At 41.3% G+C, this 12,138-nt stretch overlaps 1 protein-coding gene and 1 long non-coding RNA gene across 10 annotated transcripts in view, besides 4 other annotated features; one reads left to right on the top strand and one right to left on the bottom strand.

Moving 5' to 3' along the window:
- PCMTD1-DT (PCMTD1 divergent transcript) overlaps nucleotides 1-8,675 on the bottom strand; it is a 50,575-nt gene extending 41,900 nt beyond the window's left edge. For all 4 annotated transcript variants that reach the window (NR_189279.1, NR_189277.1, NR_189278.1 and 1 more), the window contains exon 1: nucleotides 8,144-8,675. This is a non-coding gene — a long non-coding RNA (PCMTD1 divergent transcript). The remainder of the gene's footprint in view (nucleotides 1-8,143) is intronic.
- Nucleotides 7,838-7,897: an enhancer, noted in NCBI's record as "active region_27341". NCBI's record gives its function as "activates an Ori minimal core promoter by ATAC-STARR-seq in GM12878 lymphoblastoid cells {active_cell/tissue: GM12878}" and the evidence as "EXISTENCE:reporter gene assay evidence [ECO:0000049][PMID:35858748]".
- Nucleotides 8,198-8,257: an enhancer, noted in NCBI's record as "active region_27340". NCBI's record gives its function as "activates an Ori minimal core promoter by ATAC-STARR-seq in GM12878 lymphoblastoid cells {active_cell/tissue: GM12878}" and the evidence as "EXISTENCE:reporter gene assay evidence [ECO:0000049][PMID:35858748]".
- Nucleotides 8,428-8,717: an enhancer, noted in NCBI's record as "active region_27339". NCBI's record gives its function as "activates an Ori minimal core promoter by ATAC-STARR-seq in GM12878 lymphoblastoid cells {active_cell/tissue: GM12878}" and the evidence as "EXISTENCE:reporter gene assay evidence [ECO:0000049][PMID:35858748]".
- Nucleotides 8,758-9,447: a silencer, noted in NCBI's record as "silent region_19186". NCBI's record gives its function as "represses an Ori minimal core promoter by ATAC-STARR-seq in GM12878 lymphoblastoid cells {active_cell/tissue: GM12878}" and the evidence as "EXISTENCE:reporter gene assay evidence [ECO:0000049][PMID:35858748]".
- The window catches only part of PCMTD1 (protein-L-isoaspartate (D-aspartate) O-methyltransferase domain containing 1), an 81,612-nt gene continuing 78,277 nt past the window's right edge, over nucleotides 8,804-12,138 (top strand). For 4 of the 6 annotated variants that reach the window (XM_047421325.1, NM_001286783.2, NM_052937.4 and 1 more), the window contains exon 1: nucleotides 8,954-9,060. Coding sequence is in view for 1 of the 6 variants with exons in the window: in NM_001286782.1 (NP_001273711.1) it covers nucleotides 8,879-9,060 (182 nt within the window). In the remaining 5 variants the exon portion in view is untranslated. Of the gene's footprint in view, nucleotides 9,061-9,613 lie in introns of those variants that run through there. The other 2 variants (NM_001286782.1, XM_047421323.1) reach the window with 2 other exon arrangements.

The following is a 12,138-nucleotide window of genomic DNA, read 5'->3' as shown; positions in this document are numbered from 1 at the left end:
AATAAATAAATAAATAAAAAACCTTACAGTTTTTTATTCCTGAGTATTATTTAAGTTAGGGGACTATAAAATGCACATATTTGTGAAGTATGCGTTTCTGTTTTACAACTTTTATTTTTTATTATTCCTGTTATCTAAAAGGATCTTGAATCATGTTTTGGATTTTGTTTTCTTCTTTGCTACTGCTCCTCTTGCTTACTGACAAAACTTTAAAAACTCTTATCTTGACCATAAGAACTGTTTTAAGTTAGTATCCTCAAAGACTTATCATTACCAAGATTGTGACTAAGGTAGTGGCAAAGGAACTTATCTGCCCATATAAGAATACATTTTTCGTTATTAAAATAAATAATCTCATTGGTATGTGGCTTCTTGTTTGAATATATAACACCGGGACTTTTCATACTCATATTCTGTTCTTCTTGGAAAATGGGAAAAGTACCTGTCCCCCTGCAGGCAGTGTGAGCCATATGAACGTGGACAGAAGTGATGTGTGCCATTTTCAGGCAGGATCACTTATTTGCTAGCATAAGACACTGCAAGAACTCTCTTTCCATCATAACAATAGAAAGCACATGTCAATATGATGGTGTTAGGAGTACTGAGCCAACTCATGGAGGACAGCTGCCCTGGAATACTGTCTGATATATAAACTTTTGCCATGATAGGCTACTGCAATTTTGTGTCATTTGTTAGAGCAGATAATCTAGCCTATCCAGACTGATACAGTTAAATGAGTTCTGTATTAGCAGTGTCCAGGTTTGGATGATAAATTATATATATCTCTCCATATAATTTATATAGATATACATATATATTATATATATAATATCTCTATATAAGATATACTGATATAATATATATAAATAATTTTAATATATAAATTATATAGACAGCTATATAACTAATTTTTTAATGACAAAAATTATAACTACATAATTTATATAAATATATTATAGATATATAAATTATATCTGTATGTATGATATATATTATATATACATTATAATTTTTATATATAAATTATACGCAGAGAGAGATATATATATATAATTTATCATCCAAACCTGGACACTTCTGAGAGTGACATGGAAAACCATTAGTCATTCCATCAGGATAACAGTCATAAACTGGGACTGACTTGAGCAAACCAGGCTGTGTGGTCGTCTGAAGTACGTGGCAAGCAAAAGTAGAGGTGTTGAGAACCCCTGACCACCAGACAGCTTTCCAAGAATATTTTCTCATGACATGTTGGAATGTCATTAAACAACCACAAGAGATTGTTTAAGTTTTAGATCATAAGGTAATATAGCCTAGTCAAAGAGGATAGCTCAGTTTAGAAAATCTGGTAAGCCAAGTATATTCTAATTATTTAAATTTTTAAAAATAATTAATAAATTATTTTTGACTTTGAGCTCATATTTTTTGAAACAAACGAGAAATTTTTCTTTGAGTTATACTCTCAGGTCTCCTATCTACAGGATGATTAAAATATTCTGGAATCTCACATATAGTCAAATCATTGAGGAGGCTCTGTGGGTCATAAGCCATTGGTTGTGAGAGGCTTGTTGTCCTAGCTGGGATGGACCCTTCAGTTCTGGAAGTTCTGCAGATTCGATTCTACATGTGGGGCATGAGGAAATGAGGCAAAGGTGGAAACCCCAAGTGGAAAACTCCTGCCTATGTGTAGCATGCATCCATTTCCCCTGAGGTTTTGCCACCTGCTATGATGCTGTTTGGTAAACAGATTTTGGCTTGTTTTACTGCTCAATGAATCCATATTCCTCTTTTCCATTTATAGTGTCGGGAGGAAATTAGGGTCATTGCTGTACAAGAAAAGTCTGCTTTTTGCCCTGCCAAAAACTTCATTACATCACCAAGGCAAGGAATCACACAATTGGCTATCTGCTAAAATACATTAGGGGAAAAGAAAAAGGTGTAAAATAAAAATACAGTTGCCCCTCGGTATCCATAGGGGGTTGGTTCCAGGACTTCCCACCCTTGGATACCAACATCTGGATGCTCAAATCCCTGATATAAAATACGGTAGTATTTGCATATAACCTATGCACATCCTCCCATATATGATAAATAATGTCTAGATTACTAATAATATCTAATATAATGTAAATGTTATATGAAGTCTTCCTTTCCTGTTTACCTTGTCTGGTGCTTTTGTTTTCTTTTTCTTTTTTGGGGGGGGGATGGAGTGTCACTCTGTCGCCCAGGCTGGAGTGCAGTGGCGCAATCTTGGCTCACTGCAAGCTCCGCCTCCCAGGTTCACGCCATTCTCCTGCCTCAGTCTCCCGAGTAGCTGGGACTACAGGTGCCCGCCACCACGCCCAGCTAATTTTTTGTATTTTTAGTAGAGACGGGGTTTCACCGTGTTAGCCAGGATGGTCTCGATCTCCTGACCTCGTGATCCGCCTGCCTCGGCCTACCAAAGTGCTGGGATTACAGGTGTGAGCCACCGTGCCCAGTCGTCTGGTGCTTTTTTTCTTTGATATTCCTGAACTTAAACAGTAGCTAGGGGCAGGCACGGTGGCTGACACTAGTAATCCTAGCACTTTGGGAGGCTGAGGCAGGAGGATCACTTGAGGCCAGGAGTTTGAGACCAGCCTGGGCAACATTATGAGACTTCCATCTCTACTAAGAATTTAAAAATTAGCTCCATGATGTGGCACATGCATGTAGTTCCAGCTGCTTAGGAGGCAGAGGCAGGAGGATTGCTTAAACCCAGGAGTTCAAGACTGCAGTGAGCTATGATCACATCACTGCATTCCAGCCTGGGCAACAGAGTGAGACTCTGTCTCCAAAAAATACAACAACAAAAAACGGTAGCTAGGAACAAAAACCATAAGCTAATTCATGCACTGGCATTAATGGTCTATTAACATATATTTTGTGAAAATTAACCATTTCTTGGTTTATTAAAGTCTTGCCTAAGATATAAGTATATAAAAAATATGACTGAAGCTTTTGTCTCTGGTAGGAAATTCAGCATGTATTGTTTAGGGAATAATGATCAAACAAAAGTCTACACATTTAGTACAGATGCAACCATCCATTTTTGGGGGGAATATTTTCCATCTGTGGTTGGTTGACTCTATGGTGTGGAACCCATGGATATGGAAGGCCAACTATATAAACTAATATGTCAGAGATGTATCTCATTTTCCAACCTTTTAATTAGAAACCAAGGGAAGCTAAGAACACAGAAAGTCCTCCTGCCTAAAACAATCTAGCTATAGCTTACTCCTGAGGCCTCAAATTCCTTATAAGTAATAGAACATCATTATTTAATTCCTTTGTAAAAATTGTAGATTGAGTTTTTAAGAACTGTTTAAATAAAAATATTCCTGGAGGGAAATAAAGCTGATTTCATATATTAAGTATCTTGTCATTAACTTTTTTTTTTTTATCACATGGTCTTTCTAACATGGTTCTAGCTGAGTCCTGTGTCCAGCAGGACACATTGCAGATTAGGAGAAGAAAGGTGGGGTCAAAGGACAGCACTGATGGAGAAGGCATGGATGACACCATAGAGGGGGCACCCGCACAGCTGCAGGCAGCCTGAGGGCACTGCTTACTGAGGTTACGGAAAAGAAAGGAGGGAGGATAGCTGCAATACATGCTGCTCATGTTACACACTGGTTTATAGCTAGTCCTGGCAGCAGGGGCAGTGGAAACAGTGTGATCCAACCACCTGTGTTTTTTAGACTACATTTATCACTTAGCCATGACCTTCAAGTTGGGCAACACTGAACACTTTTCCAGGGACTTTGGTGTGGATCACGCTCTGTAAATATCTCCTTGAAGGAACACAGAATTGAAATAACATTTTGAGGTATTTTTGCTGAAAAAAGAGTTCATTATCGAGGTTAGCTTTTGTTTTAGGATTTTTCATTTCAAAGTCTCTGTTCTGCCCTAATAATGAATTTGTTGTCACAGCTCCTATTTTTACTATTATTTTTAGCAAACTATTCTATTTAGTGGAATTAAAAAAAAAAAGATCAGTTGGTTCTAGTCAACTCTTCATAATTGCTCTGTTCATCAACCTAGAGCCAAGAAGAATCCATACATATGAATTATCATTTCAGTGCCTGGACTTACTACTGTGGTTCAGTATCTGACCAAGAAAGACAGGTTTACTGACCAAAGCCTTTTTCATCTTCATTTCAGAATTCAAATGTCATACTTAAAAACACACATACATACATATAATGTGCACACACACACACACATAAACACAGTAACTTCATTTACACTATGAATCACTAAAGCAGACTCTGAAATGGTTTCACCTAACTACAGTAATAGTTATATACAGCATAATTTTTAGTTCTAATACAAGGTACTTGCGTCAGCTACATTTACATAAAAGTGAACACTTAAGTTTTGGCTCCTTGCTGGCTGTTGCATCCAATCTAATGACCACCAAAATCTGGCTGCAGTCTATCTTTCTAGGCTTAGCTCCCATTATCCTTTTTGCATTCTATGTTCTAGCTAAATCAGATTAATCTCTGCTCTTTGAAAACAAATGATCTATGTAAGCGTTATTCTTTTATATTCCATGTTCCTAAAATAGCTATTCTCTTTATCTCCATAATTCAAAAATTCTATTCAAATTTCAAAGCTTGATTCAAATTTGACTTCTGCCATGGAACACTACTATGGAGCAAGAGTATTTTATTTGTACCCTTACTATTATGTCAAGGGTCACTTTCCTCCTTCTATTATTTGAATGTAAGTTTATTAAGACAGAAGCTATATCATATATTATTGCAATATCCTCAGCATCTATCATAGTGTCAGAAAATGTTTATTGAACTTTAATAGATTCTTTAAAAAATATTAAATTTTACATATACATTAAAAAGATGTTTATCCACAGTTTTGATGCACTTAAGTTTACAAGCAGAAGTTTTCCTTTTTCTCCACTCCATGATTCTGTTTTTTAAGAAGCAGAATTTTTAATAAAGGAAAGATATTTATATAGATTAAGCACCATATAAGAGTAATTTTAACTTGTGAGTTAAAGTCACTTTTTGTTTACTGTAGACAATAAATTATAAATGCTTATTTTTCTAAAAGAAATTCATTTTTTGATAACTTATATTTCCTTTTATTGGAAGATTATCCTAGCATTAAAATCTATGTAATTGAGGGATTATATGTGCAATTTAAAATAAAATTATGCTTTCCCAAAGTCATTTAATCCTATTAATTGTCAAGTGAATATTTCAGAAATTACTGACCTTTTTAATACTGAAAATGAAATCTGCCTGTGCAGACTACATCCAATTAGAAACTAACTCCTGGGCTCAAGTAATCCTCCCATCTCAGCTTCTGGAATAGCTGGGACTACAGGCATGCATCACCACACTCAGGTAATTTTTAAATTTTTTGCAGAGATGAGGTCTCACTATGTTGCTCAGGCTGATCTTGAAATCTTGCAACTTCTGAGCTCAAATGATTCTCCCACCTCTGCTTCCTATAGGGCTGGGACTATAGTCGTGAGCCACTGTGCCTGGCCAATGACAATTCTCTTTAAGAGAGAAAATACTTCTGTTTTTGCTTTTTTTTTTTTTGCAGGGGGAGGGGGATGGTGAGGTAGGGGAGGTGATGAATTTAACTGTACTGAAAATGGTACAAGGAAATCAAACTGCAGAAAAAAACAGTTCCACATTTAGTTACATTTTAGTTTTGGGTTTTCCCCAGACATTGCAGGCCAAATTAGAGTTAAGATGAGGAAATCCTTTCAGTCCTCACAGACCAGACTTGGCTTTATAAAACATAATCAAGTCCCACTATACAACCTAGGTGTTAGGAAGCAACTAGAGTTTTCAAGGTAGATCTGGGCAACACGCAGACACCTCCATTTCTGAGGCTGAAGGAAACATGCACCAGTGCTAACTGCCACGCATATGAAAAATGTGAACTCCTAGCACGGTGACAGTAGCTGTATGCTGAATACCATTTAATTTAATAAGCATTTGTTTGTTGAATACCTTATGCATTCAAATAACAGAGCACTTCTGATACAACAATGCTTCAGCCTACACAGTATTCTGAAAGGAGTCCCAAATAGCTCAATTTTACTTTGGGTATTTTCTGCTTAATAATAAAAGTGAAGCAACCTCGTATGAAGAATTAAGTTATTACAGTAAGTGTTATTGCTGTTGCCAGGACCAAACTTACTGTAACAATGTATCAAGAACTCTAGGAATAAACTGTGTGTGGGTTATCTAAATTTATCAAAGTCTAAATAAATCTCTAAATGATTCTAGATGATAATTTAAAATTTAAATTACTCATTCAACAAATGCAGAGTATCAGTGTTGTAGCAGCCACTGTATCAGGCCCTGCAGAGAAATAGTGAGCATACTGGGTATGTGCCCAACTTTCATGATTACAAATTAGTAGGAAGTCACACACAAGAAGTGAATTATAGCCAGACGTGGTGGCTCATGCCTGTAATCCCAACACTTTGGGAGGCCGAGGCGGGTGGATCACTTGAGATCGGAGTTTGAGGCCAGCCTAGCCAACAGGGGAAACCCCATCTCTACTAAAAATACAAAAATTAGCAGGGGGTGGTGGTGCGCTCCTGTGATCCTAGCTACTTGGGAGGCTGAGGCAGAACTGCTTGAAGCCGGGAGGTGGAGGTTGCAGTGAGCAGAGGTTGCCACTGCACTCCAGCCTGGGCAAAAGAGCAAAAGACTCTGTCGCCCCCACCCACAAATGAATTATATGTGTAAGGTATGGAGGCATAATCAGAAATTACGTGAAGGTAGAGATGGGGTGTGCCTACCACAGGAAAATTACAGGTGATAGAGTGCTTTACTTGCTGTTCAACTACTCACCCACAAGACTAGCATTTGGTGTTGTTTATTAAGAAGGTATTTACTAGCAGTCTTATTTAAAAAATGACCTGTGTTTAACTTTCCAGCCGCAGAAGAGAAAAAAGGTCTAGAACCCTGAAAAATTCCCATAGCAGAAGGAAGAAAGTAAAGGAAAATATGCTTTTAAAAAATGGAGAGAAAACAGGGGAAACGGCTGTAAGAGTTGTTTAATGATTTTAGCTATTTTCCTTAGATTACCATTTGTACTTTTTTTGTTTGTTTATGGTAAGATAGTTTTCATGTGCCAAAATTTCTGCTTGGACTAACAGAAAATTCATCCTGTAAGATTGTTATATGATCCCACAACGGTTAGGAGTGCCCTGGGTCCAGGCAGAAATCCAAAGATGGAGCTAATAATGTGACCCGCAGCTCTACTCCAGAATGCAGATGAATAGAGATTTTGAACAGTTCGGAGCTCAATGTCCACTGAATATGCACTCATACTTTAAACCTAAATAAAGTGAAGCCTTTGAGTTAAATGGCAGAGCGCCTCAGCAGCAATTTTGCTCGTTTTCAAGTTCTTATTTCGTGATTTGAAGCTTTTGACCTTGCTAGCATGTTCTTTCTGAACGCTTTTGCAGATGGTTGGTTATGGTGGGGAGTAGTAACCCTAGCATAAAGACGTTCTAATTCTAACTTACCTTAGGTAACCTATAAGGGTAGCTTACGCTCACTCTCATACTTGAAAATCAAAACCGAACAGAATTCACACGATGGAAGCAAATCATGCTACAACCTACTATTAGAGACTGAAGGGAAACGCACAAAGATTAATGAACAACAAAGAACACTTCAAAAAGTACAGTATTTGGAAAAGACATGCCTTTATGTACACTAAAACTAATTTAAAAAATTAAATGCAGTTTGCTAGGAGTCTTACAAGTATTAACAGCATGTTCACTGCTTAGGATCCTTAGTAGCAATATTTTCCCGGCTCGCCTGCCCCTATGCCTCATTTCCTCTTCTTTTTTTTTTTGAGATGGAGTTTCGCTCTTGCCGCCCAGGCCAGGTGCCATCTCAGCACTGCAACCTCCGACTCCCGGGTTCAAGCGATTCTCCTACCTCAGCCTCCCGAGTTGCTGGGACTACAGGCGCACGGCACCACACCCGGCTAATTTTTGTATTTTTAGTAGAGACGGGGTTTCACCATGTAGGCCAGGCTGGTCTCTAAGTCCTGACCTCAGGTGATCCGCCTGTCTCGGCCTCCCAAAGTGCTGGGATGACAGGCGTGAGCCACTCACCCGGCCCTCTTCTCGACTTTCTATCCCTCCTCCTCAACACCCTTTCCTTCTGGAAATGGGCTTTGGGGTGGTTAACCAAGCCCAGGGAAACTTGCGTGGCCCAGCATCTTCCGTCCGCTGCAGGAGGAGCACACGCCCCCGGCCCGGGTCAGCAAGACGCGAGAAAGCGGCCACGCCGGGCGTCCGGGAGCTGAGGCTGGAGGGCGCCTGGCAGGCAGGGCGGGGCCCAGGCGGCGGGAGTGCTTATGACCGGCGCTGGGGGGAACTTCTGGACGTCAAGGGGCCACTATAAAGCGGCACAGTCTTGAGCCTTCGCTCTTCACCTAAGTCAGTGAGCGCCCTTCGCAAAGCCTCTGTGGAGGTAACCATTGGGGGTTCGCCTCCAAATCCAGGAATGCACCTCAAAAATGCTCCTACACCGTAAGACCGTGTCCTTCAATGCAAAGGGGACTGTGCGGCGAGGCACCGACAAGCCGTAGCCCTGAGACCACTGAAAGCCTGCACCCCAGCGCCGGTGCGAGAACGTGGAGATGGCGGTGGGGAGGAGAGGTGGAGGCCATGCTCTCGCGTGATCTCCCCTACCGCCATCGTCTTCTGGCCTGTCAAGGCCTCGCGTTGTTTGGGCTTGGGGGCGGAGCGAGCCCTGAGGGGGGCGGGGCCAGATGGGGGCGTCTCCCGGCCTTGTTGACTTTGGCGTCCGCGGGGAGCTGCCCCTGTGCCCGTGGTTCTCTGCGCATGCCCGGACCCCGGCGGCTCCGGAGTCCGGGAGGCTCTGGCTGCTCCAGTCGCGGGTCCGGGCCCCGCCTCTCCACTCGGCGGTGGCGTCCGTGTTGTTATTGTGGTGGTAGCGGCGTCTGGCTGCTGCGGACCCCGCCGAGTCCTAGCGCCTGGCCTGCGCGCCGCTGCCCGCGCCACAGGTAACGCCGCCGCCAGTGGGGGCTCGGGGTCGTGGGGTGTGCGAGTCCCGCGTGCTAGGGCCGGGCGGGCGACTGGGATGCGCTTGGAGGCCAGAGGGCCAGGGGGACGGCAGCCGAAGAGTCGGGGGCAGGGGGACTTAAGGGCGGGCAGGTCGGGGGCCAGGAAACTGAGGCGCTGCGGGGCAGGTTGGGGGAAGGACGGGCCGGGGGCGGAGGACTTGGGAGGTCGGGGAGTCGAAAGGGGCCCAGCGAAGCCTGGAGGTCGGGAGCCGGGGTCCCTGGGGCCGGGGAGGTCGGGGGCCCGAGGGAGGCCGGGGCGCCGCGTCCTCGGCCCGTCCTCGGCTCGTCCTCGGCTCTGACCTGGGCTTGGGGACCAGAGTCCCGAGGCTGGCGTCTTGAGATGCCCGCGGGCCCCTTAGGGCCGTTTTGGATCCGCCCAGTGACTTCTGTTTTGGTTTTGGAGGCAGAGAATCCAGTCTACGTAGACTCGGGGAAGTCTCGGGGGCTGGGAGGGGACTGAGAGGTTATAGCAGGCGCCAAGGCCTCTTTTTGTGTTTTTGAGCGTCTACTACCGTTCCGGGGAAGTGCAGTGCCCGCGTTTTGCTTGGGGAATTTCAGACACCGGCATGGGGAGGACCCACGGGCAGAACCCGAGGGAGTAATTTTGCAAATCCAAGATTTTTTGGAACTTCTATAATTTTGTTTTCGTGTGTCCTCTTTTTAGAATCGAGAAACCAGAGATATATTTTTAACATTACAAATCAGAAGAATTTGCTACGGAGGAAAAAAGTATGCTTTTAGCAGTGTTTTTCCCCTATTTATTTTTTTAATTACAAAAGTACTGCTTGCTCCTTGAGAAAAACATGAAGCAGCCAAACAATGAGGAAACCTGCCCTCTCTCGCGCCCTTCCCCCCATATTTCTCCTTCTTACTACCCAGGGTAGCCAGTCTCCAAGTGTGGTGGGTAGTTATTCAGGATTTTTTTTTTCTGTGCATTTAATGAGTGTGCTTTAGAAACAAGATTGGGATCATATATAGTACAGTATATCGTTTTATTAGCCAACAATGCATCATGGATATTCCTCCATTTTATTACACACCTCATTATTTTAAAAAACATTATTACTATGTATTAGAGAATCCAATCTACGTAGGCTTGGGGAAGCCTTTTCTTCATTGTTAAACATGGTCGCCAAGTTTTCAATAATCAGTAGCTTTGAAAAGGGCTACAAGCCAATATTTTGAAACAATGTGGCAAAACTTTCAGAATGTCTGCGGCCAGACGACATTACTTTCGTATTAAGCAGATTAATATGTTTACGTATTGCTTAATGGTAGTTTACATGAGGCTAGATGACTCCATAAAACATAAAGTTGCTGAATTAGTTTACTTTTTGGTTTTTTTTATTTCATTTTTTTCTAAGTAAATTTTAATTCCATATGGTCAGTTGAACACTTGTAATTTCTTTAACATGAAGTAGCTAATATGTGAAGGAAAGGTAAGGTAGGAAAGATAGAAAGCTAGTGGCCCTAGCCTGAGACAAGAAAAAAAAAGCAACAGGGATTAAATATTTTGGTAAGTAAGCTATAGGGAGTAAACTGGAAGTGGAGGGGTGATACTACACTGCCTACTATTAAGTAAGACAGAAAGCTAGGAAATTCCCATTGCATACTGTATTTCTGTGTGCAGAAGAGCTGGAGGCTTTGTTGATTTAATCACTAGCTTGTATTTATTAAAAATGTACTGTGTTCATCTTGGTGCTAGCTTCCAGGGAAAGAACAACTGAGGAAGATAATCACGAACAACGTCTGGTTCTAAACATGCATAGCCTGAAATTTTAAGCCAAATTGTGTAGTATTTTATGATTTGGAAACTGTGCTCGAAAGGAATAAAAAAATCCATGACATTTTAGTTATTTTTGGTAATAATATGCTCATATATTTCTCATAACAACATAAATGACATTCTTCTCATTCTATAGAGTAATAAATAGAGGCTTTGAGTAAAAGAACTGCTCAAGATCCCATTGCTTTTTTTTTTTTTTTGTAATAGTGCGTGTTTATATTCAGGAGTGCTTAATCCAAGAACCTGTGTTTTCTGCTCTTGTTTTACCTCCTATGAACGAAAAATTGTTGCCCTTACGGTTTTTTCTGCTTTCTTTGAAATGTTCCTTACAGAATAACTACATGAATGTAATCACATGCATTTAAAATAGTCTAGAGAATATAGTGTGAAACTATAATGGTATTTTTTTAGATGAGGTTTCTGGTGGCATATTACTAAAATTTTAAACTCCTTGATCTTATGCTGTTAACCAAGAAGATGGGGATTTGTGTTACTTTAGACACTGCTGGGTGCCATGGTAAATTGGGATGTTATTGTAAATTGTAGCTCTCACAGCTGCGTATTGCTTACAAACTCGGAAGGATAGTCTCATATCAGTAAACATTTTTATGAACGTAGTTGAACTTTTTTGTAAATTAGTGTGCTGGAAAGAATACCAAGAGGGCCCTAAAAAAGTCTAAAAGGATTAAAATTTACTTATGTAATTATTGGTATTTTAAAATATTTGGTAGTCACTTAAAATGCATAATGACAGACAATAGGGTGTCATAATATGGTTTATTAATCTTTTTTCATTTTCCACTAGATGTGGCAACTACATAGTTGGAAGAAATGTGGCGGCCGGGGGCAGTGGCTCACGCCTGTAATCCTAGCACTTTGGGAGGCTGAGGCAGGTGGATCGCCTGAGGTCAGGAGTTCGAGTCCAGCCTGGCCAACATGGCAAAACCCCGTCTCTACTAAAAATACAAAAATTAGCCGAGCTTGGTGGTGGGCATCTGTAATCCCAGCTACTCGGGAGGCTGAGGCAGGAGAGTCGCTTGAACCTGCGAGTCAGAGGTTGCAGTGAGCCAAGATCGCTCCACTTCACTCCAGCCTGGTCAAAAGAGTGAGACTCTGTCTCAAAAAAAAAAAAAAAAAAAAAAAAAGAAATGGGACAAATACTAACATTAATAAAGTATGGTCAGTTGTAATCTGTATTTGAGAAGAAACCAAAAATACAGGAAAAGCTTTGA

The sequence above is a fragment of the Homo sapiens genome, chromosome 8, assembly GCF_000001405.40.
Source record: "Homo sapiens chromosome 8, GRCh38.p14 Primary Assembly".
In the NCBI taxonomy this organism is placed as follows: Eukaryota; Metazoa; Chordata; class Mammalia; order Primates; family Hominidae; genus Homo; species Homo sapiens.
This window is presented reverse-complemented; position numbering and strand designations above follow the sequence as displayed.